The sequence below is a fragment of the Homo sapiens genome, chromosome 19 (assembly GCF_000001405.40).
Source record: "Homo sapiens chromosome 19, GRCh38.p14 Primary Assembly".
Lineage (NCBI taxonomy): Eukaryota > Metazoa > Chordata > Mammalia > Primates > Hominidae > Homo > Homo sapiens.
Window position 1 is genome coordinate 32050681 of NC_000019.10, and position 25289 is coordinate 32075969.

Sequence of the window (25289 nt, forward strand, 5' to 3'; positions counted from 1 at the left end):
CACTTCCATAACCAAAGGAAGCTTGTCTTTACCTTTCTAAAAGACAGTGGAATTATATCTTTTAACTAAATTTTTAAAAACAACTCTAGATTAATATTCCCTCCATGACTGGAGAGTAAAAGCACTGATTTAGCTGAGTATTAGGGAAAAATACTAAGCACAGGTGCCCAGGAAAGTCCTTCCTAGTGGACGAAGACTATGGAGAAACATGTGTTCTAGGCATACAGGAATGCTGAACTGCTTATTTGTGGTTCTGAATTTTCTGCTTGGGACCAAATTTGACCTGTAGCTGCAGACTTCCCATGGGGTATTTACAGCTGGGCCACTTACAAATTGGAATCCAGGGGAGTCCAGGAAAGATGAATGGCAGCTCAGTTATTTCCAGCTGAAAGTGAATGGGGCATCTGAAATTGAATGGGGCCCTGGATCCTGTAAACATATGAGATCTTAGCCTCTGATAGCCAAGTTTGGAAAATCAATGAAAGCAATAGACTTTCTCCTCTGCCCAATGCACACACAAAATAATAATAATAATAATAATGCAATGTTGCTTACACTTTCAAGAGGTTTATGGACCACCTCAAAGCTCATGCATGCACCCATTCCCCCAGCCCCAAGAGAAGAGACAGGATGACAGATCCAACCGGAACAGAGTGTGGCCCCATGGTGGTCTATCTCCAGCTAAACAGAGCAGGAGCAAATCCCACAGGAGCAAACTAAGGGAAGACAAAATAATTCCACCTGGGAGGAGAAGAGCAGGGGGTCTTTTCTTCCATCAGCTCAAGGAAGACTACTTTCTGACCATAGCCACAAGAGTTAGACACTGAAGAGAGAAAGAGCATGTGGGAGATGCCCAGTGCCGCAGAAACGAGACGCTTTCTGGACAGTGAGTCCAGTCTCCACCAAGAGGGAGGAGAGCCCAGGAGCTGCCACATGTCCTCAGCTATAGCCTCTCCCTCTGGTGTACCAGAGCCTCATGTTGGTGCTGGAAAAGAGAGGTGCAGGCTGAAACCCACATCAAACAATTGTCACTAACCAATATCACGCAGTTGTTTTTACTTTCACCAAAAGCTTTGGTGTATGTGTGGTTCCTGATTTACTTATTTCCACGTCTCTCCTCTCCCCTGGGTTTCCCAGTGCCTCTCTGGAAGGTCAGTTTCTAAGACAGAGTCCAGCTGGTTCTTCCCAGCCTCTCTGGGACTGAATCCCTGCCTGGATCTGCCTTCAGGGATCGCCATCAGAATGGCACACAGCACTTGCCAGTCCCCTCTCTGAGCCTTAGTGGCCCCATCTCTAAAACCAGAACATTGAACAAAAGCATCTGAAGGTGAATGGGGCCCTGGCTCCTGTAAATATATGAGAGCTTAGCCTCTGATGGCCAAGAGCCTTTTGGAAATTCAATGAAAGTGATGGACTTTCTCCTCACCACAAAAAGATAATAATGCAATGTTGCTTACAATGTCAATTACATGGGCCACGCCAAAGCTCATGCATGCGCTCCAAGCTAAGAGCCCCTGACCTGGCTCAAAACGACCATCCTCACCACCATAAGTTTCAATATGAGGGAAACTGAGCCCCAGAGAAGAGGATAGAGTGTCCCAAAGCCACACAGAAGGAAAATGACCAAACTGGAAAGATAACCCATTTCCTACCTCCCAGGCAACATCCTTTTCCTGGGCTCTTCTGCCCTCTGCACTCCTTCATTCTCATCAATGCCTTTCTGATTACCCCAGGTGTTGCCACCTTTTTGGCTCCCCAGGTAGGAATTTGATATCTGGGCCCCACAGGTCACCCCCACTCCAGAGTTCACCTCCCAGCAATGGCAGGGACTTGGGGAAGGAATGATGAAGGTGAAACATGGGAGCCAGAAGGGGGACTATGGCCAAAATACCACAGCCATCAGGTAAGCACTGGATGACCCTGGCTGAGAAAGGGGACAATGGAGACAGAAAGGAGCCACCTGTCCCTTCCACGCAGAATAGGTGGCCCTAAGCTGTTGTTTCAAAAAGCACATTTGCTGTCTTCAAAAAAATATATATGTGGAGGAGGAGGAGGAGGAAGAGGAAAAAAAAAAGATGCTCAGGCTAGATAAATTCAGAATGATTTGAATACATTACTGTAGTTAAGTTTAGTACATAAAGTACTGAGGATGGCTCTGCCGTGCATTTCAATGAAGCCCAAAATAATGAGGCACTAGCTGGGCTGTTGCGGCTTCGTCAGAGCGATTCTGCCCTAATAAGTGGGAAGGAGGTGGCTACGGCTCCCTGCCTATGAATTGTCCTCATGGGATTTGGCCCGGCCTCTGAGGGGAAGGCAAATGGAAGATGAGAGAAGCTGGGCAGTTGGGATGAGAGACTGAACACCTGGAGAGAAGGGTGAGCCCACGTGGAGCATTTCCAGGCTTGAACCAGCCAAGGAGTCCTTCAAGGCAAAACAAAATCTGTCCCCTTAGACCTTCCAGGTCTTCCCAAGGGAGGCTGTGGGGGGACGTGGAGTCCAAATACCAGAAGGGCAGCCTCCAACCTGCTTCTCACAGCTCTCTTGTCTCCACCTCCTCAGACCCTACACTCCCACCAGAGAAAATGGAAAGACGTAACTTAGAAACCTAGAGGCCCAGAGAGCACCAGTGATTCCCTCCATGATCCATCACAGGGAGGAGGTTAAGGAGAGGAGGAAGGGAAGAGTGAGAAGAGAAGGAAATGAGGGAGGGAGAAAGAGCAAGGGAAGAGATGAAGGAAGAAAGAGACAAAACAAAGTCCCCCATCTGTAGCTGCCTCAGCCCCTGAATGGAGAGAGATGCTATATGTGGCTTTCTCCAGCATTTCCGGGGCCTGAAATGGCTAATCTGTAAGAGCTAGAGGAGGAGAGACTGACTCCATAACCACTACATGAGTCATGTGTTCCAAACAGCCTAGGAGCCAACATCCAGGTTGTGGGGACAGACGAATGCAGCTGTGGCTCAGAAAAAGAACACTAGAAAACATGATGGCCCTCTGGGAGGACCCTTTGTAGAGCCTGGTCTTTGACTCCATAATCAGGCATTTGACACTCAGACGCTGGAGCAGAAAGAGCCATGAAGGCAGCAGACCTGATCCCTAGGCAGTGACAAAAGAGGGTTTCCTTTCCCATCAGTCTCCAGCCAGAGAAGCTGGGAGTTCTCTCAGGTGAGCCCAGCAGATGTTACGAGCTTGCAAATAAAGGGTGAAAGTGACTAGCCTCCGTCTAAAGGGAAACCCAAGCCTATGGCCAGCCTCTCACTGAGAAAATATAAATAGTTAAATCCGTAAAATCAGCCTCCTTTTCTGTTCTCTGGATATAACTTGCTCCTGGACGTCTGTGAGTAGTTAGCTGAAAAGCTGTTGGGGTGGACATCTGTTGTTTTTGCCTGCCCAGCCGCTTTTCTCCTTTTACTGGAAATAGCATCCCGATTTTCCTTGAGGAATCACTCCTCCCCCATGCTCGATCCATGTGGTCTTGGGTGGCGCTGAACCCACCCCCAGCTCCAGGGACAGGCAAGTGACCCAGACCAGGACAATGAGGGCATCATATCCCACGGGCCACCATGATTGGCTCACGGGTTGGGATAGGAACTAATATGGAACAGCCTGACTCAATAACAGGTCTTTGTGTAAAAAGAGAATCTTTTCACTGAAGTTCCAGAGAAGATAGATGAATGTCTGGTGCTGCTGACAGCCATCTTGCCACCACAAAGAAAGACTCCAAGCTGCTTGAAAATGGAGTTAAGGCAGAGAACACCAGAGCAGAAGCCTGCTGACAGCATTCTTGCCCCTGGATCCAGCTATACCTGAAGATCTACCCCCTGGGATTTTTAGTTACAGGAGCCAAGTTCATCTGTGGTTTGACAAGCCCATCTGACGTGGGCTTCTTGCAAAAGCCTTAACTAAGATAAACTCACCTATAGAGTCTTTTTTTTTTTTTGAGACCTTTGGAGCCTCTATAACTGAGTCTATTTTAGTCAAGGCTTATGGAATCTACCATAAGTTCACAGATGGACTGATAAACATATAAGGTGTCTTTGTCCATTTGTGCTGCTGTAATGATACCTGAGACTGGGTAATTCATAAAAAACAGAAATTTATTTTCTCACCATTCTGGAGGTTGGAAAGTCCAAGTTCAAGTGCCAGCAGGTTCAGTTTTCTGGTGAAGATGCTGTCTGTCTCCAAGATGGTGCCTTGCTGCTGCATCCTCTGGAGGGAGGAACCATGTCCTCATGTGGCAGAAGGTAGAAGGGTGAGCCAGTTGAACACTGCATAAAGCCTTTTTCATAAAGGCCTTAATCGTACTCACAAGAAAGGAGTAGCTGGGCTCAGTGGCTCATGCCTGTAATCTCAGCACTTTCAGAGTCCAAGGAGGGAGGATCGCTTGAGCCCAGGAGTTTGAGACCAGCCTGAGCAATATAGCAAGACCCCATCTCTACAAAGAATTCAAAAATTAGCCTGTTATAGTGATAGGCACCTGTAGTCCCAGCTACTTCGGAGGCTGGGGTAGGAGGATCACTTGAGCCTAGGAGTTTGAGGCTACAGTGAGCTATGATCACACCATTGCACTCCAGCCAGGGCAACAGAGAAAGACTCTGTTTCTGGAAACAAAAGAGAGAGAGAGAGTTGCCCTCATGGCCTAATCACCTCTTAAATGCTCCACCTGTTAGTAATATCACATTGGCCAAAACACCTGAATTTTACAGGAGACACATTCAAACCATAGCATAATGGATCCTCTGAAGTCACAGGGCTGATGGGAGGCAGAAGAGCCTCCTCTCCCGGTACCATGATGCCTAGCAGGTTCCCGGGGTCTCCAAAAAAAGGTATGCACTGGCCCAGTTGCACTTCGGGCTGCACAGTGAGTGAAGGACTCCTTCCCCAGGAATATATCAAGCTGTGAAGTATTCACAGTTTTTAAATTACTCATCAAGAGCTGGATTTTTTTTTCTCCTCTGCTACCTTAGTTACTGATTATTTCCAGACCCATCAGATACACAAACTCTTGTTTTTAAAATGCAATCAGCACACCCACGCACCCATCTATAGATAGTAAAGAATAGGTGCTGAAGTCCCTGGAATGTATTGCTATCATGCAAGATGAAATGGACAGCATTACAAATGTACACTCAGCAGGAAAATACGATTTACCTGGTAATTCAAGCTGGGGATGGATAATCAGTTCATTTCAAATAATGAACCAAGAAAGCACTGCCATTTGGAAAACTTGGGGGTCCATGCTTGTCTGTGGGATCTTGGTGTGGCTGTGTCATTCTTATGCAGAAGGGTCACCACCTCTTCCAGAGGACACAGGACACCGTCTCCAGTGGGTCAGATGCAGCTGATGGGAGACCACCCAGGCAGACTCCCCAGGCACCATTTTCTCATCTGGCTCCAGTGGTTTTAGAGCCCACAGAGAGGTCTGTCATTTCTTCAAAGGCTGACTCTGTGGAGGGGCAGATGGTGCACAGTTCTGTCCCTGATCTCGGGACAGGTTTAAAAGTCCCATTTGTTGATTTCCTCTCTTGTCCTCTGTGCATTCAGTCCCATCACTGAGCTGCTTATGGCTGGGAGCTACAAGATCTTTGTAGTGGGGGATCCTTCGAATTTATCCTGACATGGCTCCAGAAAATGCTCAGGTGGGTTATGGACAATGCACTCTTAAGACTCCGGACCAGCTACTAGAGTGTAGACCAGGGCAGCAGCAATACAGGAAAACATCTCAGGAAAATAAATTCACACAGAACCCATTATAGCTGATTTTGACCTATTTTGAAGAAAATTGCACCGTTTCTAGGTGTGGAGTTGATCTGTTGCAGGTGGCCTACACTGTGACCTCTCTTGTAGGCATGGAGATGAACATACTTGGTATCATCCACTCTCCTGCACTGCTGGCTCAGTCACCAGCCTTTTCAGGCACGGGGTCTGCAACCTCTCTCATGGTTTGTGCCATCTCTTGAGTCAGGAGCCACAGACCTCATCCAGGACTTACAGCCTGACAGATTAAGGAGTCCGATAAATCCACACATTCTGAGTTGTTATGCTGGGCAAAAGCCATGCCCATCCACAAGCCAGACTCTTGGCCTCCACTGGAAGCTTTGGAACTTTATTCCCATCAAACACTGACCTAATCCTTGCACTGAGACTGCTATTTACATTAAAATTGGTCACATAATGAAAAAAAAAGGTAGTTCATTAATATGCTAAGAAGTGCTAATTTGAACATTGCTGAAAAGCAATTGCAAATTCCATTTTGCAACTTGCAAATGTGATGCAGTGCAAATTAGGGCTGATGGACCCATCTTCAGACATTCAAACTTCATCTGGGTATTTCTGAGTTCCCCAAGCCTTGGCGGCCGAGATTGGTTGCAAGACCAGTGGGGGTGATTTCTCCTTCATTGGAGATGAAAGAACGTGCTTCCAGTAGTGGGTGGACAACCATGAGCCCTTCTACACAGATATCAGGTGAGTCCAAGGAAGCCTGTCTCAAGGGGCTTGCTGAAATGACCCGAAACAGAAGAATAAGAATGACCCCAAATGCACACAACACATGTCTTCAGAGAGCTTGAGCTGTGCCAGATGGACACCCTGCACCCAGTGAAGCCCCCAGCCCCCAGCCTCAACTCCATCTTCCGCTGGGCGGCCTTCGATGCTCTGTTGACCCAAGCTGGGTTGAGAGGTAGCCTGAGGCCCCCTCCTTCAGCAGGAGAAGCCAGTGGGAATCAGAGCCAGCTTTGGCAAGGGTTTGCCATTTTCCTCCCAGAGGTGCTCTAGGGGCAGCTCTCTCCATGGAAAATAAAGCCCCAGGGACTGTGCCAGGCTCAGTTGCCCCTTCCATCTTCCTGCTATCCTCCTCCTGTCTACAAAGGCAGTGGAGTTAGAACTTACATGACTGAGCTTCCAAAGTCAGAAGACACCCAGAAATTGATGTGAGATGAAAAATACACTTGAAAGTCCCTTAGGACAGTGTAGCACCAGAGACCAACATACCTTCCCCTTGGTAAGTGGACGCTGTCAACTTTACCTCCATCTTTGTCTGTCATTCCTTCTTTCATTGGATTCTAGATGAAGTGGGTGGCCTGCCTTTGGCACCATGCTGTTTCCTTTATTTTTTTTTAAGTGTGTACCTTTAAACATATAACAGCCCATTACACACAGCAAGATGTTCCAGCTCTAAGAGACACCAGCCACAGTCCCTGGTATCCATTGCCAAGGTCTGCCAGCCACAGAGCCAGCACAGGCAACAGCTCCCCCTGGGTCTTCACACCACTCTAAGCTACCTTCCCAGAAGTGGAAGACCAGCACTTCTGCTGGGATCTAACTCCAAGGCAGAAGTGTCTCACTCATGAATAAATCCTCAGGTGCAACTTCCTTCCTTCCTTTCCTTCCTTCCTTCCTTCCCCCTTTCTTTCCCTCCTTCTTTTCCTTCCTTCACTCTTTCCTTCCTTCCTCCCCTCCTTCCTTCTTTCCTCCTATTTTTCCTTCCTTCCTTCCCTCCTTTCTTTCTTCTGCCCTTCTCTTCCTTCCTTCTTTCCTTCCTTCCACCCTTCTCTTCCTTCCTTCCTTCATCTCCTCCTTCCTTCCTTATGTCCTTCCTTCCTTCCTCCTCTTCCTTCGTTCCTTCCCTCCTTCCTTCCTTCTTCCCTCTCTCCCTTCCTTCCCTTCTTACTTCCTTTTTTCCTTCCATCTTTTCTTCCTTCCACCCTTCTCTTCCTTCCTTCATCCCCTCCTTCCTACCTTCTGCCCTTCTCTCCCTTCTTTCCTTCCTTCCTTCTTTCTTCCTTCCTTCCTTCTTTCCTTCCTTCCTTCCTTTTCTTCCTCCTCAGCTACTTCTCAAAAGGGCACAAAAGGGTGAAGTAAAGAGATGGAGGAACCCGGCTAATGTAAGGAGAGGCAAGTCCACCCTGGAGCCATAAACAAGGTGCAAACATAGTCACATGGACATGCAGTGCCCACGGGGACACTGAAAACGTGGCCCTGAGCTTTCCATGGAGCTAAAGCCAAAAGGAAAACAAAACCCAGTAAGGAGCACCTTGTCAGCAAAACTGAAAAGGCAGCGATCCTGCTTTTCCTGCAGCTGAGGCCTGAGAGAAATTTCTTAGCTGGGTCCCCTCCAAGGTAATGGACAATGTCCTCACCATAGATTCTATGAGGCAGCTCGCTGGCCCGAGCCAGAGCCTGACTTAGCTCTCCAAAAGTGTCTGTTTGCTGGGGGATTTTCTACTCAAAGGTGAAAGTGGAAAGCAGGGAAGGCAGGCCCAACCCCAGGCATCTCCCACCACAGCCTCCCAGACCCCATTATGTCTCTTCAGCATTGCTCATGCCACTCTCGGGCCACCCATAGGGCTTTGGCACACAGACGCCTTCCTAATCACCCAGGCATCTTCTCATGTGTCCCCCGCTCAGGGAGGCTTTCTGTGACCACTCTGTCCAAAGTAGATCATTTCAGCCAGGTGAGGTGGCTCACGCCTGTAATCCCAGCACTTTGGGAGGCCGAGGAGGGCAGATCATTTGAGGTCAGTTCAAGACCATCCTGGGCAACATGGTGAAACCCTGTCTGTACTAAAAATACAAAAATTAACTGGGCGTGGTGGCCCGTGCCAGTAATCCCAGCTACTTGGGAGGCTGAGGCATGAGAATTGCTTGAACCTGGGAAGCAGAGGTTACGGTGAGCTGAGATCACACCACTGCACTCCAGCCTGGGGACAGAGGGAGACTCCGTCCCAAAACAAACAAAAAACAAAGTGGATTGTTTTTTCACATTGCTTATTACAATCTGAAATTACCTGTTTCTTATGGTTCCATATAGAACACAAACTCCACGTGAGCAAGAACTTTGTCTTGCTCAAGCTGAATCCCAAGCTCTAAGAATTTTACCAGGCATGTGACAGATACTTAATAAATATTTGCAGAATAAATGAATTGGCATGACAAGTCCTATGATAGCATATTCTATATGCCACGCACTTCTAAGCACTTTGAAAATATGCACCTTCATGTAACCTTTAGAGAAGCCCTTGGATATAAGTTCCAACACCAACCCATTTCACAGATGAAGAAACAGAGGCACAGAGAGGCTCGGTAATTTACTGGAATAACACAGCTAGTGAGTGGTAGGACCAGGAAGTCTGGCTACACAGTCAGAGCCCACGACCTCCACGGCCGATGTTTGATTGGGGCAGGTTGCCCAATGCATGATGAGCAAAGTTTGAATCTACTTCCCCGCACTCAGAAATCTTCCTTACCCATTGCTCCTTTCTCTCTCATTGTTCCTGAACGCATTGTCTAATTTTGGCGATAAGCAGCCTAAACCATTTAAATTCTCCTTTCTTTAATGTTGTTGATTTTAGCTAAAATGCAAAGTGTAGTGCGGAGGAGCCCAGACGGCATCCACTGGAGAGTCTGGGATTAGTTCATTAATAGGTTCGGCTACTGCCCGTGCGGCAGCATAACATTAGGAGCTAACTGCTTCTGACCACGCACCACTTAGAACCCCACATTTGCAAATCAGCTCAAGACGCATGTCACCATGAGAGATGACAGTGTTAAAGAAATGCATTTTTCATTGATTCTATTAATATTAGTAATACCTCTTATTGAATATGATTGGTGTAGACAATGCAAAAAGTCGTTTTTCTCATTTATTTTCGAAATCAGCCAGCATGCCCCAATACCAGCCTTGCTCTGTGGACAGCTGCTGGCTGTGAGCATTTTATGGAGACGGATATGCCAGGCCTGGTCTGGCCTCTTTTAGCCCTGCCTGTACCCCAACACATGCCCAAGTCCAGAGCAGGAACTATTGGAACCATTTACAGCCCATTAAGAATGCCCAAAGCTGAGCACCGTGGCTCACGCCTGTAATCCCAGCACTTTAGGAGGCCGAGGCAGGCAGATGGCTTGAGCCCAGGAGTTTGAGACCAGCCTGGGCAACATGTCAAAACCCCATCCCTACAAAAAATACAAAAACATTAGCTGGACATGCACACCTGTAGTCCCAGCTTACCCAGGAGGCTGAGGCAGAAGGCTCACCTGAGCCAGGGAGGTCGAGGCTACAGTGAATCATGATTGTGCCATTGTACCCAACTCTGGGCAACACGGGGAAAATCTGTCTCCAAAAAAAAAAAAAAAAAATGCCTGAGAACTGAATGGAGATTTCTGGGGAATTAGGTTCCTCTATACCCCAGGGAAGCCTGCAAAGGAGCCCCCTGATCTCTGAGACACATGTTCTGGTGTGATTGTGTTGAATGAAGTCCCAGATGCAGTGCCACTGGCACATTGGCACATGGAGCTCAAAGGAAAGGAACAGGGGAATGAGTCGGACCTGTGTGTCTTGTGCCAGGCCTGCCACTCTGCACACCGGCCCCAGCCTTACAAGTCTCCCTCACTGTGCAGTCCTACTCTGAACGTTTCCACGTTTTTTGTTTTTTTTTGCCTCCTAGTTTCTGCTTCTCCAAGTCCCTGCCTTCACACATCATGACCTCCTGTGGCCCATCCACCTTGTGGCAACTTTGCTGCTTTTAGCTTCAAATTCAAATGTGGATTGCCACGCTGAGAGAAAGCAATGCCTAGGAAAATATCCTGGAAAAAAAAAAAAACAAGAAACTACACTGCTCTTTCCTTTACTGCCCCTTTTCCTTTCTCTGCCTTTTGTTCAAAGAGGTATCCAGGAAGTGTGAAGTCTCCCAGGATCCAAGGAGGCTGAGGAAACCAGCATAGTTTTCCCTGAGCAAATTTCAGTTTACCAGGCTTGTAGGAAGTCAGAGCCAAAAAAAGAAATCAGCATTTTGGCAAGGCCCAGCCTGGATGAATCTCAAATGAGTCATTTGAGAAGAATGTAATGGGCTGCCCATTTTACCTAGTGGTACAACTACCTGCCCAAGAAGAGAGTAGAAAATGCTACTGCGGGAAAATTGCCTAATCTGAGCTTGAGTTGATGCAAGAAGCCCAGTTTCATACTGATATGGTTTTGCTGTGTCCCCACCTAAATCTCATCTTGAATTGCAGTTCCCATAATCCCCACATGTCATAGGAGGGACCCGCTGAGAGGTAGCTGAATCATAAGGGCAGTTACCTCCATGCTGTTCTCGTGATAGTGAATTCTCATGAGATCTGATGGTTTTATAAGGGGCTTTTCCCCCTTTTGCTCGGCATTTCTCCTTGCTGCTGCCATGTGAAGAAGGACATGTTTGCTTCCTCTTCTGCCATGATTATAAGTTTTATAAGTTTGCTGAGGCCTCTCCAGCCATGCAGAACTGTGAGTCAATTAAACCTCTTCCCTTTATAAATTAACCACTCTCAGGTATGTCTTTATTAGCAGCATGAAAATGGACTAATACACCTACCATTTTCTTTTTCACTGTTAAATTACACATTGGGTTTCTGGGTTTATACATCAGTCTCATGATCTTGACTAATGTGAGTCCACACCTAAGAGACAGATCCACTCTCAGAATCAGAATCAAATCTTGTTTCTAGATTTGTGAGGTGGAGAATCAAACTACAAGCTGTGATAAATTTACCACTAACAAATGTCAACCTGCAGAGGCAGCCACCACCCCTCCACCCCAACCCCACCAACAATCCCCAGTAAGTCCCATTCTTGAGAGGAGAAGGCAGGAAAGGGTACACATGAGCCACAACCTAGGACAATGATTCTCAACCCTGGCTGCACAGTGGAATCATCTGGTCTCACCACAGAATTTCTTATTTAACTGGTCTGGGGTGCCACTTGGGAATTGGGGTTTTTTGAAGCTCTCCAGATGGCTCTGCTGTGCAGTCAAACTTGAGAACCACAGACTAGAGCTTGGAAGCACCCAGTCTGAATAAAGACCAAGAGTGGCTGGGCATGATGGCTCACACCTATAATCCCAGCACCTTGGGAACCTGAGGCGGGAGATCCCTTGAGCCCAGGAGTTCAAGACCAGCCTGGGAAACACAGTGAGATCCCATCTCAGCAAAAAATTTAAAAATTAGTGAGGCAAGGTGGCATGTGCCTGTAGTCCCAGATATTCAGAAGGCCAAGCACGAGGATTGCTTGAGCCCGAGAGTTCAAGGCTGCAGTGAGCTGTGATTGTGCCATGTCTCTCCAGCCAGGGAGACAGAGGGAGACCCCACCTCTAAAAGAATAAAATATAGTAGAATGATTTATAATCCTTTCGGTATATACCCAGTTATGGGATTGCTGGGTCAAATGGTATTTCTGGTTGTAGATCCTTGAGGAATCACCCCACTGTCTTCCACAATAGTTGAGCTAATTTACACTCCCATCAACAGCGTGAAAGCATTCCTGTTTCTCCACAATGAGAGACTGAATAAAGAAAATGTGGCACATATACACCATGAAATGCTATGCAGCTATAAAAAAGAATGAGTTAAAATTAGCTGGGAGTGGTGGTGGGCACCTGTAATTCCAGCTACTCGGGAGGCTGAGACAGAGAACTGCTTGAACCTGAGATGGGAAGTTTGCAGTGAGTGGAGATCATGCCACTGCACTCCAGCCTGGGCGAGAGAGCGAGACTCCATCTAAAAAAAAAAAAAAAAAAAATGAGTTCATGGTTCATGTCCTTTGCAGGGACATGCATGAAGCTGGAAACCATCATTCTCAGCAAACTAACATAGGACCAGAAAACCAGACATTGCACGTTCTGACTCATAAGTGGGAGCTGAACAATGAGAACACGTGGACACAGGGAGGGGAACACCACACACTGGAGCCTGTCAGGGGTTGGGGGGCAAGGGGAGTGAGAGCATTAGGACAAATACCTAATGCGTGAGGGGCTTAAAACCTAGATGATGAGTTGATAGGTGCAGCAAACCACCATGGCACTTGTATACCCATGTAACAAACCTGCACATTCTGCACATGTATCCCAGAACTTAAAGTAAAAAAATTTTTTTTAAAAAGAATGAAATAAAATAAAATATAAAAGACCAGAGGGCAGAGAGTAGGAGCAGCCCACAGGAGTGCTGAGAAGAAGCCTCCAGAGACAGAAAAGGACTTCCACCAAGGGAATGCCGCTCATCCTTCTCCATCACTCCCTCACTGAGTTCTGCCAGGAGGGCACCTCGCTGTAAGTCAGGCCTCTGTGTCAGCCGCCAAGAATAACTGCTTGCCCTCACTGAAGTTCAAAACTGCCTTCGGAAGCCAGTTAGAGCCTATAATTAGAATTCACTGCAACTCTGGCAACACGCAGCCCATCCACCGCCCAGGACTCCAGCGGCATCGGCTGTAGCCCGGTGATTTAAAACCACAGTGGACAGATTCGCCACACCTAATGTGCATCCCTTGGTGGGTTGCCCCCTCTGATGTCCACTGGGAAGGAATTGAATTACGGCCTTAGATACAAGACTGAGAAGTTGCAGGAGGAAGTCGCAATTATGCACAGAACTGGATGGGCAATTTGAGGAGAAGGTGACAAGAGAAGCTAAATCTGCCTCCCTTTTGTCCTTCAAGTCTCCTTCCAGAAACCCGTTCCAGCACCCACCCTGCCAGAGACGCGGTCTGCAATGCTGGAAGCAATGTAAGGGGTGGAGGGGTGGGGGGTTGAGCTTGCATTTGAACCTCTCTTATAATGCCAGAATGGAGACAGCATAATTAGTCTTCACTTTCACAAGTAATAAATACACTCAAATTAAAAATACATTTGTACCACTCATATTACCCCTGCATATATCATAACATGTAAATACACATTCTGCTTGTCTTTTGCTAATCATTTGCTTTATATTTTCATGTTGGTCAACAGGATAAATAAACGTCTTCCTATGTATCTCAGTATCATTAATATTCTTTAAAATGTGTAGGTTCTCATTTAAGGCTGAATGAGCGCTTTTGCCTATGGCCGTGGAAACAATTAGGAAATTTGTGAATTACATGACTGGTTTGCTTGCATTTCCCAAGCTAAATATTTAAGAAAGCTTTCTCTCATGAACAACCAAAAGTTTTTGGTAAGCGCAATCATTCAGGGAGAAGAACTATGGAAATAATACCAAATTTGGAATTGGAAGCCTCTGGTTGGAGTCCCAGCTCATGCATAAAACTATTCTGTGACTTTGGCCATCAGCACCTCCCTGGGGTTTAGCTTCCTCACCAAGCTGGGAATACCCTTACCTCACCTACCTCCCTTTTTAAATTTAACTCTTATTTTAGGTTCAGGGGTACAAGTGCAGGTTTGTTATAAAGGTAAATGTGTGTCATGGGGACTTATTATACAGATTATTTTGTCACCCAGTTTTTTAAGCTTAGTACTCTTTAGTTATTTTTCCTGATCCTCTCCCTCCTCCCACACTTCACCTTCTGACAGGCCCCAGTGTGCATTGTTCCCCTCTATGTGTCCATGTGTTCTCATCATTTAGCTCCCACTTATAAGTGAGAACATGCGGTATTTGGGTTTCTGTGCATTAGTTTGCTAAGGATAATGGCCTCCAGCTCCATCCATGCCCCTGAAAAGGATACAATCTCGTTCTTTTATATGGCTGCATAGTATTCCATGCTGTATATGGACCACATTTTCTTTATCCAGTCTACCATTGATGGGCATTTAGGTTGACTCCTTGTCTTTGCTATTGGAAATAGTGCTGTGATGAACATATGCATGCATGTGTCTTTATGGTAAACAATTTATATTCCTTTGCATATATACCCAGTAATGGGATGGCTGGGTCGAATGGTAGTCCTGTTTTTAGGTCTTTGCGGAATTGCCACGCTGACTCGCACAATGGTTGAACTAATTTACACTCCCACCAACAGTGTATATGTGTTCCCTTTTCTCCACAGCCTCTCCAGCACCTGTTATTTTTTGACTTTTTAGTAATAGCCATTTACCTTACCTGTCTCTTACTAATAGGAGTATTAGCAGATGCCCGACTAGAGAGAGACCACATGAGGCAGGGAAGTGCAGGAAAGAGAGCTTGTCACGGATGGGGCCAGTGATGGACCAGACATCATCCAAATGGCCCAGGGACGACATAGTGTTCCCAGAGCCCCATGAGCGGGCCCAGGAACCTCAGAGGAAGGCCTCTGTGACAGGAGCTGAATCTCTGCCAGATACCTGGCCCCAAAGCAGAGAGGGAGCTTGAGACAGCACACCCGCCTTGTTCTCTGATTCCCTTTTGCAGCCTACCGGTGGGCAAATCTAATTGGCACTGGCCAGCATGGGCAGCCTGCAGGGCCAGGCTCCTGGGGCAGGGGGAGGGCCAGGGAAGGCTGGTAAATGGGTGATGGGGGGTGGGCAACAGAGGCCTCTCCAGAGTGAAAATCTCCATCCCACCTCAGGAATGAAAAACGTGCCCCTTCCCTTCAAGTTTTCAAGGTGCCTTAGAATTCAGCTCCCTTCAGCCAAGGAAGCCCCCGATGCTGAGTGAGAAGGGAAGCACAGCTTTAATCAAAAGAATGTTGATGAATTAACCCCATTTTCAAAAAGTTCAGTACCCAAGAAAGCAAAGTTTTTCACATTAGATTAGAAAAGATTGTTTTCCATTAAAGGTTCTCTAAGTACTCTGCCCATCTGCCCAGGGATCTTTCCCAGGGAAGCACCCCCATCCCCCCGCCTCGCCTCCTGCACCCTGAGGTCAGAGGCTGGCATGGGCTGGAGGAGAGAATGACCAGCAAGCAGGTGGGCCAGGTAAGAGAGTGTGCATGCCCAGAGGAGGTCAGTCACCTGCCACCGCAACCATCCTGATTCTCAGCACATACCTATTGGTTTAGTCTCTGGTAGTCCAGTGTCAATGAAGAACAATGACACTGATGTGGTTTTGCAACACCACAGGCAATCAAGGCATCCCCAAATGCTCATTTCACCCTGCATGTCCTCAGGAGATGCCCCAGTCATGTCCTGAAGTTTCATTTTAGGAGAACATCCTGTTCTGGTACCTGGGTGGACCTCAAGGGTTAATCCAATCCAAGCCTCTGTTTGATAGATAAATAAGCTGAGACCTAAAGAAAGGATGTGGCTTGCTTAAGACCACACAGCAAGCAAATGGAAGAGCTCAGGCTTCCCAGCTCCTAGGCCAGGGCTCCTTACTTATCCCCTAACTCCCCAGCTGAGCAACTTCCATGAGAAAATGCATGGGGATGCGGTCTTTGTCATGATTTAGGGAAGCAGGGAATGCAGGCTCTAAAATTAGACTGCCTGCGTTCAAACTCCTGCTCCACTAGCTCTATGAGTTTGGACACAATATGTAACCTTTTTAAGCCTCAGTCTCTGCATCTGTAAAATGGATACAAAAAAAAAAGAATCTTATCTTATCTCAGGGAGTCATTAAAAGAATGAGATAGGTCAGGTGCAGTGGCTCATGCCTGTATTTTCAGCATTTTGGGAGGCCGAGGCAGGTGGATCACCTGAGGTCAGGAGTTCAAGACCAGCCTGGCCAACATGATGAAACGCCGTCTCTACTAAAAATACAAAAATTAGCCAGGCATGGTAGCACACGCTTGTATTCCAGCTACTGGGGAGGCTGAGGCAGGAGAATCATTTAAGCCTGGGAGCAGGAGGTTGCAGTGAGCCCAGATCAAGCCACTGCACTCCAGCCTGGGTGACAGAGTGAGACTCCATCTCAAAAAACAAAACAAAACAAAAAGAATGAGACAGAGCATGTAAAGTACTAGGTACAGAGTAAGCAATAAAAAAATGTCTGCTGTTGCCAGTTCACCAGAAGATCACTATTAACGATAATAGCTCTATGTTCTGCATTTTGTCAGCCAGACCTAGCACCTGTTCCTTGCTGGAACTTGGGATCCTACTGGACTAGAGAACTCTGAATCAGCTGAGAGCAAAGCTCCTTCCATCATTTCATGGGGAGTCAAAGCACTTGTCAAAGCACATCCATCTCCACGGAATGAGGAGACCCATGCCCACCTGCAGAGGCAGGGCAGAGAGAGAAGCATGAAGCATGAATGGGCTGCCCCAGCTACTTTGCCTGGACTTTGACAAAGCTGGGAATCTGGTATGTCCACATGCTACCAGCCTCCCAGGGGGGCAGAAATGGGGTCATGCTCACTTTAAATACCAAACTGTAATGACTCGAGCCCCACCATCTTGATTCTGGAACTCAGCTCTCTCCTACTCTCCTGCCCTCTGCAAAGCACCCACTCAGCCGCCACCATGTTCTTCCCCTGTCTTCTGGCTCCCTTGGCCCTTGTCTGTTTCCATGGAAACCACCTAGCAAATCCCTGGACCAAGGAGCTGTCTCTAAGCCTCCAGGGGGCACCCCGAACAGGACCTCTGATTGTGCTATAGGACGGGAGACCAGGTCTGGCAGCTCTCTGTCACGAGACCCTTCTTGCTTCTCCTTACCCTTCAACAGCTCTCATCCCCATCCCTCCTTCCTCACACCACCAATGGCCCCCTTCAAGTTCTCTGTTATCCAGCTGCACTTTTGGGTCCATTCCTGCACAGGGCAATCAAACAGGGCCCGGCTGCCTGGAATCGATGAGTCTTTATGGAGTCAGGCATCCCGACATCCACTGAGGCCAGAGCGAGGGAGCCCCCATGAGCTGGAGGACTAGGAATGAAAAAAATGAAGAAAAATAATAAAATTGCTATTGCTTCTGGATGAAATATCCTGATAGTCAGATGAAAGGAGAGCTTGAAATCATAATCATAATCATCTTTGGTCTTTGCCTGTGTAGACCTGGCCTAAGGCTTTAATGTAAACCCATGGTGATTCTGAAAGCTACATGAATAGTTCATTTCCCAGCAAAACTGCCATACAGGGAGACAAATAATTTAAGTAGGGACAATGCTTCACCAGTATGCACATATTAGAAGTTTAAAATCACAACCCAGGGAAAGCCAGAGAGAGAAAGAAGGAAAAACAAACTTTTTTGTCTCAATTTCTGCTAGCTGGAAAGATCGTTCCATTCTGAAGCTGTCGTGGTCTCCCTGGCAGAGCCTCTTTTCCCTCTGAGAGAAGGAGCTGGGAGGGGGTGCCTGCACACAGATGAAACATAGAGACGGGAGACCCTTCTTGGAGGAGCAGGGGGGAAATTTAGAGGCAGAGATACCTGGCTATAAATTCACAACTGGAAATTTACAGAGGATATGTCTCCACTCTAGAAAAGCAACCAAAGGCTTATTGACATGAGATTCATGTAAATGAGGTCTAATTTCTCACCCCGGGTGCACATCATCACTTTCCTGAGACGTTGGATTTTCTGAGTGTTTCACCCCACATTCCACCCAGAATCAATGTATGGGTTATAGATTATTGATCACTGAGGACCCAGGCCCCAGCCTCGCTTTCAGTGTCAGAATGAGAGCTATTGTTCTCCTTCCCAGACATTTAACCGTGAGTCATCACACATTTTCAGACATAGAGCAATTATTTATTGTCATGTTATGCTACCCAAGCTTGTCAGGAATTTAAACTGAAGAATATGTGCACGTGCCATCCTGAGGCAGTATTCTAGATACATGAGGAAAGTCAGAAAAACGTTACTGGTCCAAGAACAAACTCTAAACGTTTGGCTTTTGATTCTCTGTCTAATATATAGCAATTTCAATGAGACTAATATCACCATTCTGTGAACCTGCCAGCAGATAGAAGTTCCCACATTATTGTGGTCTGTTTCCGAGGACAAATAAAGTATGCTGCTCTCCAGTGTTCTGTAGAAGCACGCCACGCTATAGACAGAAGTGTTTCAAGTCAACACAATATGAAAAAATTCAAAATAAAATGAAAAGTGTCTGAAAACAAACCAACATAAATATACAGCAGTCCTGTTAATTATGATTATTTATGATCATAAGAACTGGCATCATTACTGTGGTTTCCTTTCCAAAATCTCACAAACTTGTTACTATACAGCAGTTTCGGAGTTCTATAGGCTTAAAAAGGTGGCGTGCTGGAGGCAAAAGTCATTTTTGGCAGGGATGACGTACGTCCCGAATGTGAGGGCTTGCACCCACGCAGGCACGTGTGTGCTGCTGGCACACAATAGAGTCAGCTTGGACTTTCCAGGGTCCCCCAACGTTAAACCACTGGCAATGCATTACAGATGTCTCTGATGAGCACCGCCAATCTATTAAACAAAGTGCTCTCATCGCCTCCGAGGGGCCTGAAGAATGATCTAGAAATCCACCCCCTGGAGGGAAACAGCCTATGAAACATCAAAGACAACACTGAATATTTCATCAGGGATAACAGGACTTTTCTCTTTGTAGCCCTCCCCGCTTTTCCACTGCCCTGCCTGCCACTGTCTCCCCCCCGCCCTCCCCAATCTTTTTCTCCACTCACTTGACAAGTAGTCACGGCCACATCACTGCCGTCCCGCTGTCCTTGCACGCTGACCTCTGTACTGTGTGGTGCCCAGTGGTCATGCTGTCCTCGTCTCTCACCAACCACATCTGACAGGAGACGAGGCACTCGTGGCAGCGGCTCCTGGCACCTGAGACACCCTGGGACTACACAGGTAAACCAGGGGGGTCTGTGTTGTCTCCAGACTAACAACAGAAGGAAAGACATGACATCTCCAACCAGGAGCCCACGTCCGAATATTCAAAAGGTTCATCATGCGGGAGATGGGGGCGGCCCTCCCGGCTTTCCAGGATGAGGCCTGCAGAAGTCAGGAGGGATGACGAGAGGAGGAGGGAGGCCCACACCTGGTCCCGGCCCAATCAGGGGAGAAGAAGAATGCGGGTGTAACAGACCAGCGATGTCAACTCCGGGGTGAGGGTGCAGGGGAGTGTCAGCCCCTACCCTCTCCAGGGACCCCTCCCAGGCAGGCTTCAGACCCCTAGACATGTGTAGTCACACAGGCAGCTGAGAGATCGGCTCTTCCTCGGGGACACAGTCGCCACCCAGTCCTGTGGCTCCTTCAGTACCCAAGGAGACAACGAAGGTTGATTAGTCAAAAAAGAAAATAGCTCCTTTAAAAATGACATGGCGGTTTTGAGTTGCTATATTTTCTTACAGCTCCTTTTTGGTGAATGTCGGAGTGGAGAAAAAGCATGAAGTATTTTGACTGAAATAAATGCTTTCATGGAAAACAGAGAGCCCTAGAGAGTATTCTAAGACTGGAAGAACGTCATACTATTTTAAGCAGGTGACAGTAATGTCACTGTCTGAGGGGTTAGGGTATTTTTTTTCCCTAGAATTACAAGAGGAAAAAATAAGTTTGCTTTGAATAGAGAAAGTTAAGTAAAGAAACACACTTCCCAGTTGCATGGATAATTCATAGACTGCAGTGACATATTTCCCTGCTCTTGGTCTTTGACAAAACTAACCAGTACTATTAGGCAGAGAATGTTTGCTAGCTCCAAGCAGAAAACTAAATAAAGTACAAACATACTCTTCAAATCACTCTGATTTTTCCAACTTTCATTACACCACCCACATCAACATGGCTGCAATGCAATTGTTCAAAACCCTATCCCAGCTCTCCCTCTGTTTATCATGGACAGAGAAGGTCTGGGGAAAATCCGGACAGCACACTTTATCTAATGAGCTTAAAGCTTCTTCCAGGCTACTGGTTATTTTCCTTTTCTTCCTTGATAGTACTGAAGAGTCAATAGAAGGGTAGATGGCATTGCATGTTACCTTCTAGTACTACCAGCATTAATGGAGATCCTTCCTGTTTCAGTACACAGCACTGAAATACACACACACACACACAAAAGAGTCTTGCAGGCCAGGCGCAGTGGCTCACATCCGTAATCTCAGCACTTTGGGAGGCCAAGTCGGGCAGATCACTTGAAGTCAGCAGTTTGAGACCAGCCTGGCCAACATGATGAAACCCCGTCTCTACTAAAAATGCAAAACATTAGCTGGGCATGGTGGTGCATGCCTATAATCCCAGCTTCTCGGGAGGCTGAGGCATGAGAATCGCTTGAACCTGGGAGGCAGAGGTTGCAATGAGCCGAGATTGTGGCACTGCACTCCAGCCTGGGTGACAGAGTAAGACTGTCAGAAATCTTGTTAGAAGACTTCACTAGGACCACATCCATTTACTGCCCACCTCTTCACCCCAGGTTGCTGGCTGCCATTTGGCAGCTGTTTAAGAGTGGCTCTTGGGAGGGTAGGAGCAGTCCTGTGGCAGCTGTGTTCTTGGGTTCCATGGTGAGGCCATCATGAAGCCATGGTGAGGCTCCTTCTGGGCCAGGAGCTGGAACGGATGAAGACCCCAGCTCAATAGGTCCCATGGTGGAGTCCCCGCCCCCACTGTCACCACCTCTCACCTTCCCACGTGCAGGTACACCATCTATCATGAAGAGAAAATGTGCTTTCCACTCCCAGCTCAGCAACAGCACCTGGGGCCAGGAGGAAGAAGAGAGAGAACAGGGAGGTGACTTCGCTGGGGCCCTGGTGCCTCTGAGCTCAGGAGAATACCCAGAAGATAATATGGACATGTGAAGAGTGGTTCAAGAGCACACCTCTGCCAGCTGAACTGCTGCTGCTGCTGTACAGTTCTTGGGGCCAGACCAACCTTGAATGCCTTTGAGGACAAAGCCATCCCTCCCTAGATGAGACCCAATAATCAGTCTCCTTGGAAACATCTAGCTCCCTGGCAACTACACCCACTCAAGCTGGCCCAGCCCCTCTTGGGGGATGGAAGAGTGCCTCAGATGGATTTGTATCAAGAGGCTGTGCTCTGAATCCCCTTATGGGGTCTTGCTAAGCTGGAATCCCACATGAAGTCACACCGTCACGGGGCCTTCTCCACTGGGGCCTCCACCACACTGACGCCACTCAAGGTCAGGGACTCTCCAACTACAAAAGTAAGATTTTCTTCTGAAGAAACCTCACATCCCAATAAGCTCAGAAGGAATAAGATAACTGCTTTCATAACCACGCAGTGTCTTCTTTTATTATTTTTTAAAGGGACAAAGTCTCACTCTGTCACCCAGACTGGAGTGCAGTGGTGCAATCGTAGCTCACTGCAGCCTCCAACTCCTGGGCTCAAAGGATCTTCCTGCCTCAGCTTCCCAAGTAGCCAGGACTACAAGCACAGGCCACCACACCCAGCTAATTCTTTTAATTTTTTATTTTTTTTAAGATGAAAGGAGAGACCCAATCTTGCTATGCTGCCCAGGCTAGTCTTGAACCCCTGACCTCAAGCAATCCTCCTGTCTCAGCCTCCCAAGTCTCTGGGATTACAGGTATGAGCCATCATGGCTGGCATCTTGTGTCTGTAAAGCGAGGCCCCAAAATAGTGCACCAGGATGGCATGGGACTTCAGAGCACTATGTCACCCTGATGCTACAGACCCCTGCTTCCCACCAGCACAGCAGTGGCAGTGTGGCCTGCCACATACACAGGTCATCAGCCCAGAGAGAGGGCACTCCTCAGAGCTGAAATCCAGAGAAGGGTGGCTGTGCTGCGTACCCTGGGTCCTCATGGGGCTCTAGGAAGGCGGAACTGAGGCCAGCAGCATTTACTCCAGAGCAGAGAGGAGTTTCAGAATTCACATGAAATAAAACAAAAATCTAAACCCAAGCTGAGATTTCATTACAGAATCCCACTCTAGGGCTGCAGGAGCCCCCATCCCCACTTTCACTCCACTCCCTTGGCTGTCCAGATGTCCAGGTTGGGTCGCCAGAAAGGCCAGTTGCCCCAAGGCCCCAGAGAATGTTCTGCTGCTAGGCCAGAGCACCATCCCCAGGACTACTCTCCATGCATGGCCAGCTGCCTAGTTGGGTTTCACCTTGGTTATTTGGTGAATATCTATTTGGAGCATGTTCTTATCTCAGCAGACACTTCCAATAAGAAGACTGAGCCACCAGGCAGATGTTATAAGCAATGTGAGCTTGTGCTGGAAGAAGAGAGAATCCACCAGTGTCCTGGGCCCTCCAAGGCCTCTCTGAGGGAAAGACATTTGGACAGAGATGCCAAGGACAAGGAAGAGGCAGTCACCCACCTCTGGGCAAGGTGCAAAAGCCCAAGATTCACGTTCATGTGTTGCAAGCACAAAAAGAAGATCCTGTGGCTGGAGTAGAGTGAGGAACAGTGAGAATGGTAGGAGCAGAGGGCAGAGAAAGTGGCAAAAACAAGGTCGCATGAGGCCTTGTAAGCCATGGTCAAGAGGTGATATTTTATTTTAAATGAATCCAAAGTAATTGCAAGTTTTTGAGCAAGTAAGCAAAATGCTCCTTTGCAAAAAACAAAAAAAAAAAAAAAAAAAAAACAAACAAACAAACAAAAAAAAAAACTCTAGGGCTTCAGTAAGGCAAACAAATTGTGAGTGGGAAAGAGTGGATGCAGGACTTTTAGGCAAGGGTGGGGTCAGGGAAGATGGAGAAGAGAAGACATAAGATGTTTGGAGGTGGAGCCAACAAGATGCATTATTGACTAGGTTGCAGGTACCTGGCAGGAGACAGGGGCTTTCTCGACCACTCATGCAAGAGAAGAGTCCAGGATGCTGCTTCAGTCACCTGTCTGTCCACAATGACAATGGGGCATGAAAAAATGCCCTAACTCAGGGCATAATAAAATAATTAGCTTTTATTTAGTACACAAGTCTGAACTTTGCATTTTAGGCTGGGCTCGGCTGGGCAGTTGTTCTGGTTTTGAAAGGGCTCATTCACATGCTGGTGGTGGGTTGGCTGTTAGCTGGGATAAGAGGTAAATGGGCCATTTGGCTCCCACCCTCCATGTGAGGCTGGCCCAGGCACATCCTCATGGTGAAGGCCAAGGTGGAAAACTGGACCAGCCCAAGCACAAAGCATTTTTCATGCCTCTTCTCCTGCTTATTTGTTATCGCCCCTTTGGCCAGAGCAAGTCACAGGACAGATCTCAGCATCAAAGTGGATGGCCCTTATAAAGATAGATGGCCAGGGGTGAGGACTTAGACCACTCATGCAATCTGTCTACCCACCACACAAGGTCCTAGATGTTTGACTTGAATAACAGGGTAGCTGAAGGTGCCTTTTATTGCCATGGGGCAAACTGGGAGAGGAATGCATTGTAGATGGCAGGAATCAGGGATTCTATTTTGGCTTAGGGACCTGCCGGGCAGCTTTATGCTCCCTAAGCACTGAGTGAGGGCTCATGGGAACTGCTCCATGCCTATGGGTAATTCTGCTCTTCTGGTTTTGAATAAAATTCACTAACCTGGAGTTTCAAAGTCCCAAGAAGGCAAACCTTCTGATGATGATGCCAGTGAGCCTGCATTCAGGTGACAACATGGCAAAGAGCGGTTCCTCCCCAGTCCCAAAGTGACACCCGTCAGCTGAACAGTGACGGACATTTGTCACTTGCCAAACAGATTCCTTCTGTCTGTCATGTCCCCATCCTGTCTCCACTGCAGAAGGAGCTGGAGCCTCCTTTTACTGAGAGGCTCTCCAATCTTATGCTGATCGTTAACTAAGATATTTCTCTCCAGAGATTTATTACATTAATGAGCTCTGAAATTACTCATAGCAATTAAGTATATTGTTTTTAAACTCTTCAGAAATCATCAAAACACATTGGTTGTTTTTCAGGGAAACATAAATAAAGGGTACAACTTGTCACCCAATAAATCCTGCAGCCTGCTCTCTTCATGTTGGTTTGGGGAGTTTCTGGCCCCTAGTCTCCAAGGTGTGCCTTCACAACTGAAAGGTGTTCCACTAGTGAAACTTGTCCTTTTTCTTTCTTTCGTCTTTCTTTTCTTCCTTTTTCTTTCTTTCTTTTGTTCTCTCTCTCTCTCTGTTTCTCTCTCTGTTTCTCTCTCTCTCTCTCTCTCAACTTTCCTTCTTTCTTTCATGTTATTGTTTTACTTTTTAGAGACAGGGTTTCAGCTTGGCATGGTGACTCAGACCTATAATCCCAGCATTTTGGGAGACAAAGGCACAAGGATTGCTTGAGCTCAGGAGTTTGAGACCAGACAGAGCAACATGACAAAACCTTGTCTCTACAAAAAACATGCAAATTAGCCAGGCGTGGTAGTGTACCTGTAGTCCTAGCTACTGGAGAGGCTGAGATGGGAGGATCACTTGGGCCCAGTAGGCAGAGGCTGCAGTGAGCTGAGATCATGCCACTGCACTCCAGCCTGGGCAACAGAGTGAGACCCTGTCTCAAAAAAAAAAAAAAAAGAGAGAGAGAGAGAGAGAGGCACAGAACTCAGGTCCTTCTAGATATTAATAAAAAGGAACTTCTTACAATCTGTTTCATTTAGTTTTCACAACTAGAAGGGCAAACTCTTATTATTCCCCATCTTACGAATAAGGAAACTGAGACACACAGAGGGTAAGTGATTTGCTTAAGTTACTGTAGGCTTGGAGTTTTGTACCTCTCCAGATTCTCTCTCCATGCAGGGAGGCTGCCCCCAAATGGACTACATTATGGGCTCTGGGTCAGTTTCAGCCAATGAGA

At 47.2% G+C, this 25289-nt stretch overlaps 2 long non-coding RNA genes across 6 annotated transcripts in view; one reads left to right on the forward strand and one right to left on the reverse strand.

Moving 5' to 3' along the window:
• LINC01837 (long intergenic non-protein coding RNA 1837) overlaps positions 1-21419 on the reverse strand; it is a 234720-nt gene extending 213301 nt beyond the window's left edge. For 3 of the 5 annotated variants that reach the window (XR_007067222.1, XR_007067219.1, XR_007067217.1), the window contains exons 1-2: positions 21371-21419; positions 21176-21247 (exon numbers count right to left, since the gene is read on the reverse strand). This is a non-coding gene — a long non-coding RNA (long intergenic non-protein coding RNA 1837). Of the gene's footprint in view, positions 1-21175 lie in introns of all 5 variants that reach the window. The other 2 variants (XR_007067223.1, XR_007067220.1) reach the window with 2 other exon arrangements.
• An 82-nt stretch (positions 21420-21501) lies between these two features.
• LOC105376899 (uncharacterized) lies at positions 21502-23442 on the forward strand. Its single transcript, XR_935913.2, has 3 exons — positions 21502-21715; positions 21994-22096; positions 22691-23442. It is a non-coding gene; the product is annotated as an uncharacterized LOC105376899 (long non-coding RNA).
• The last annotated feature ends 1847 nt before the right edge of the window (positions 23443-25289 follow it).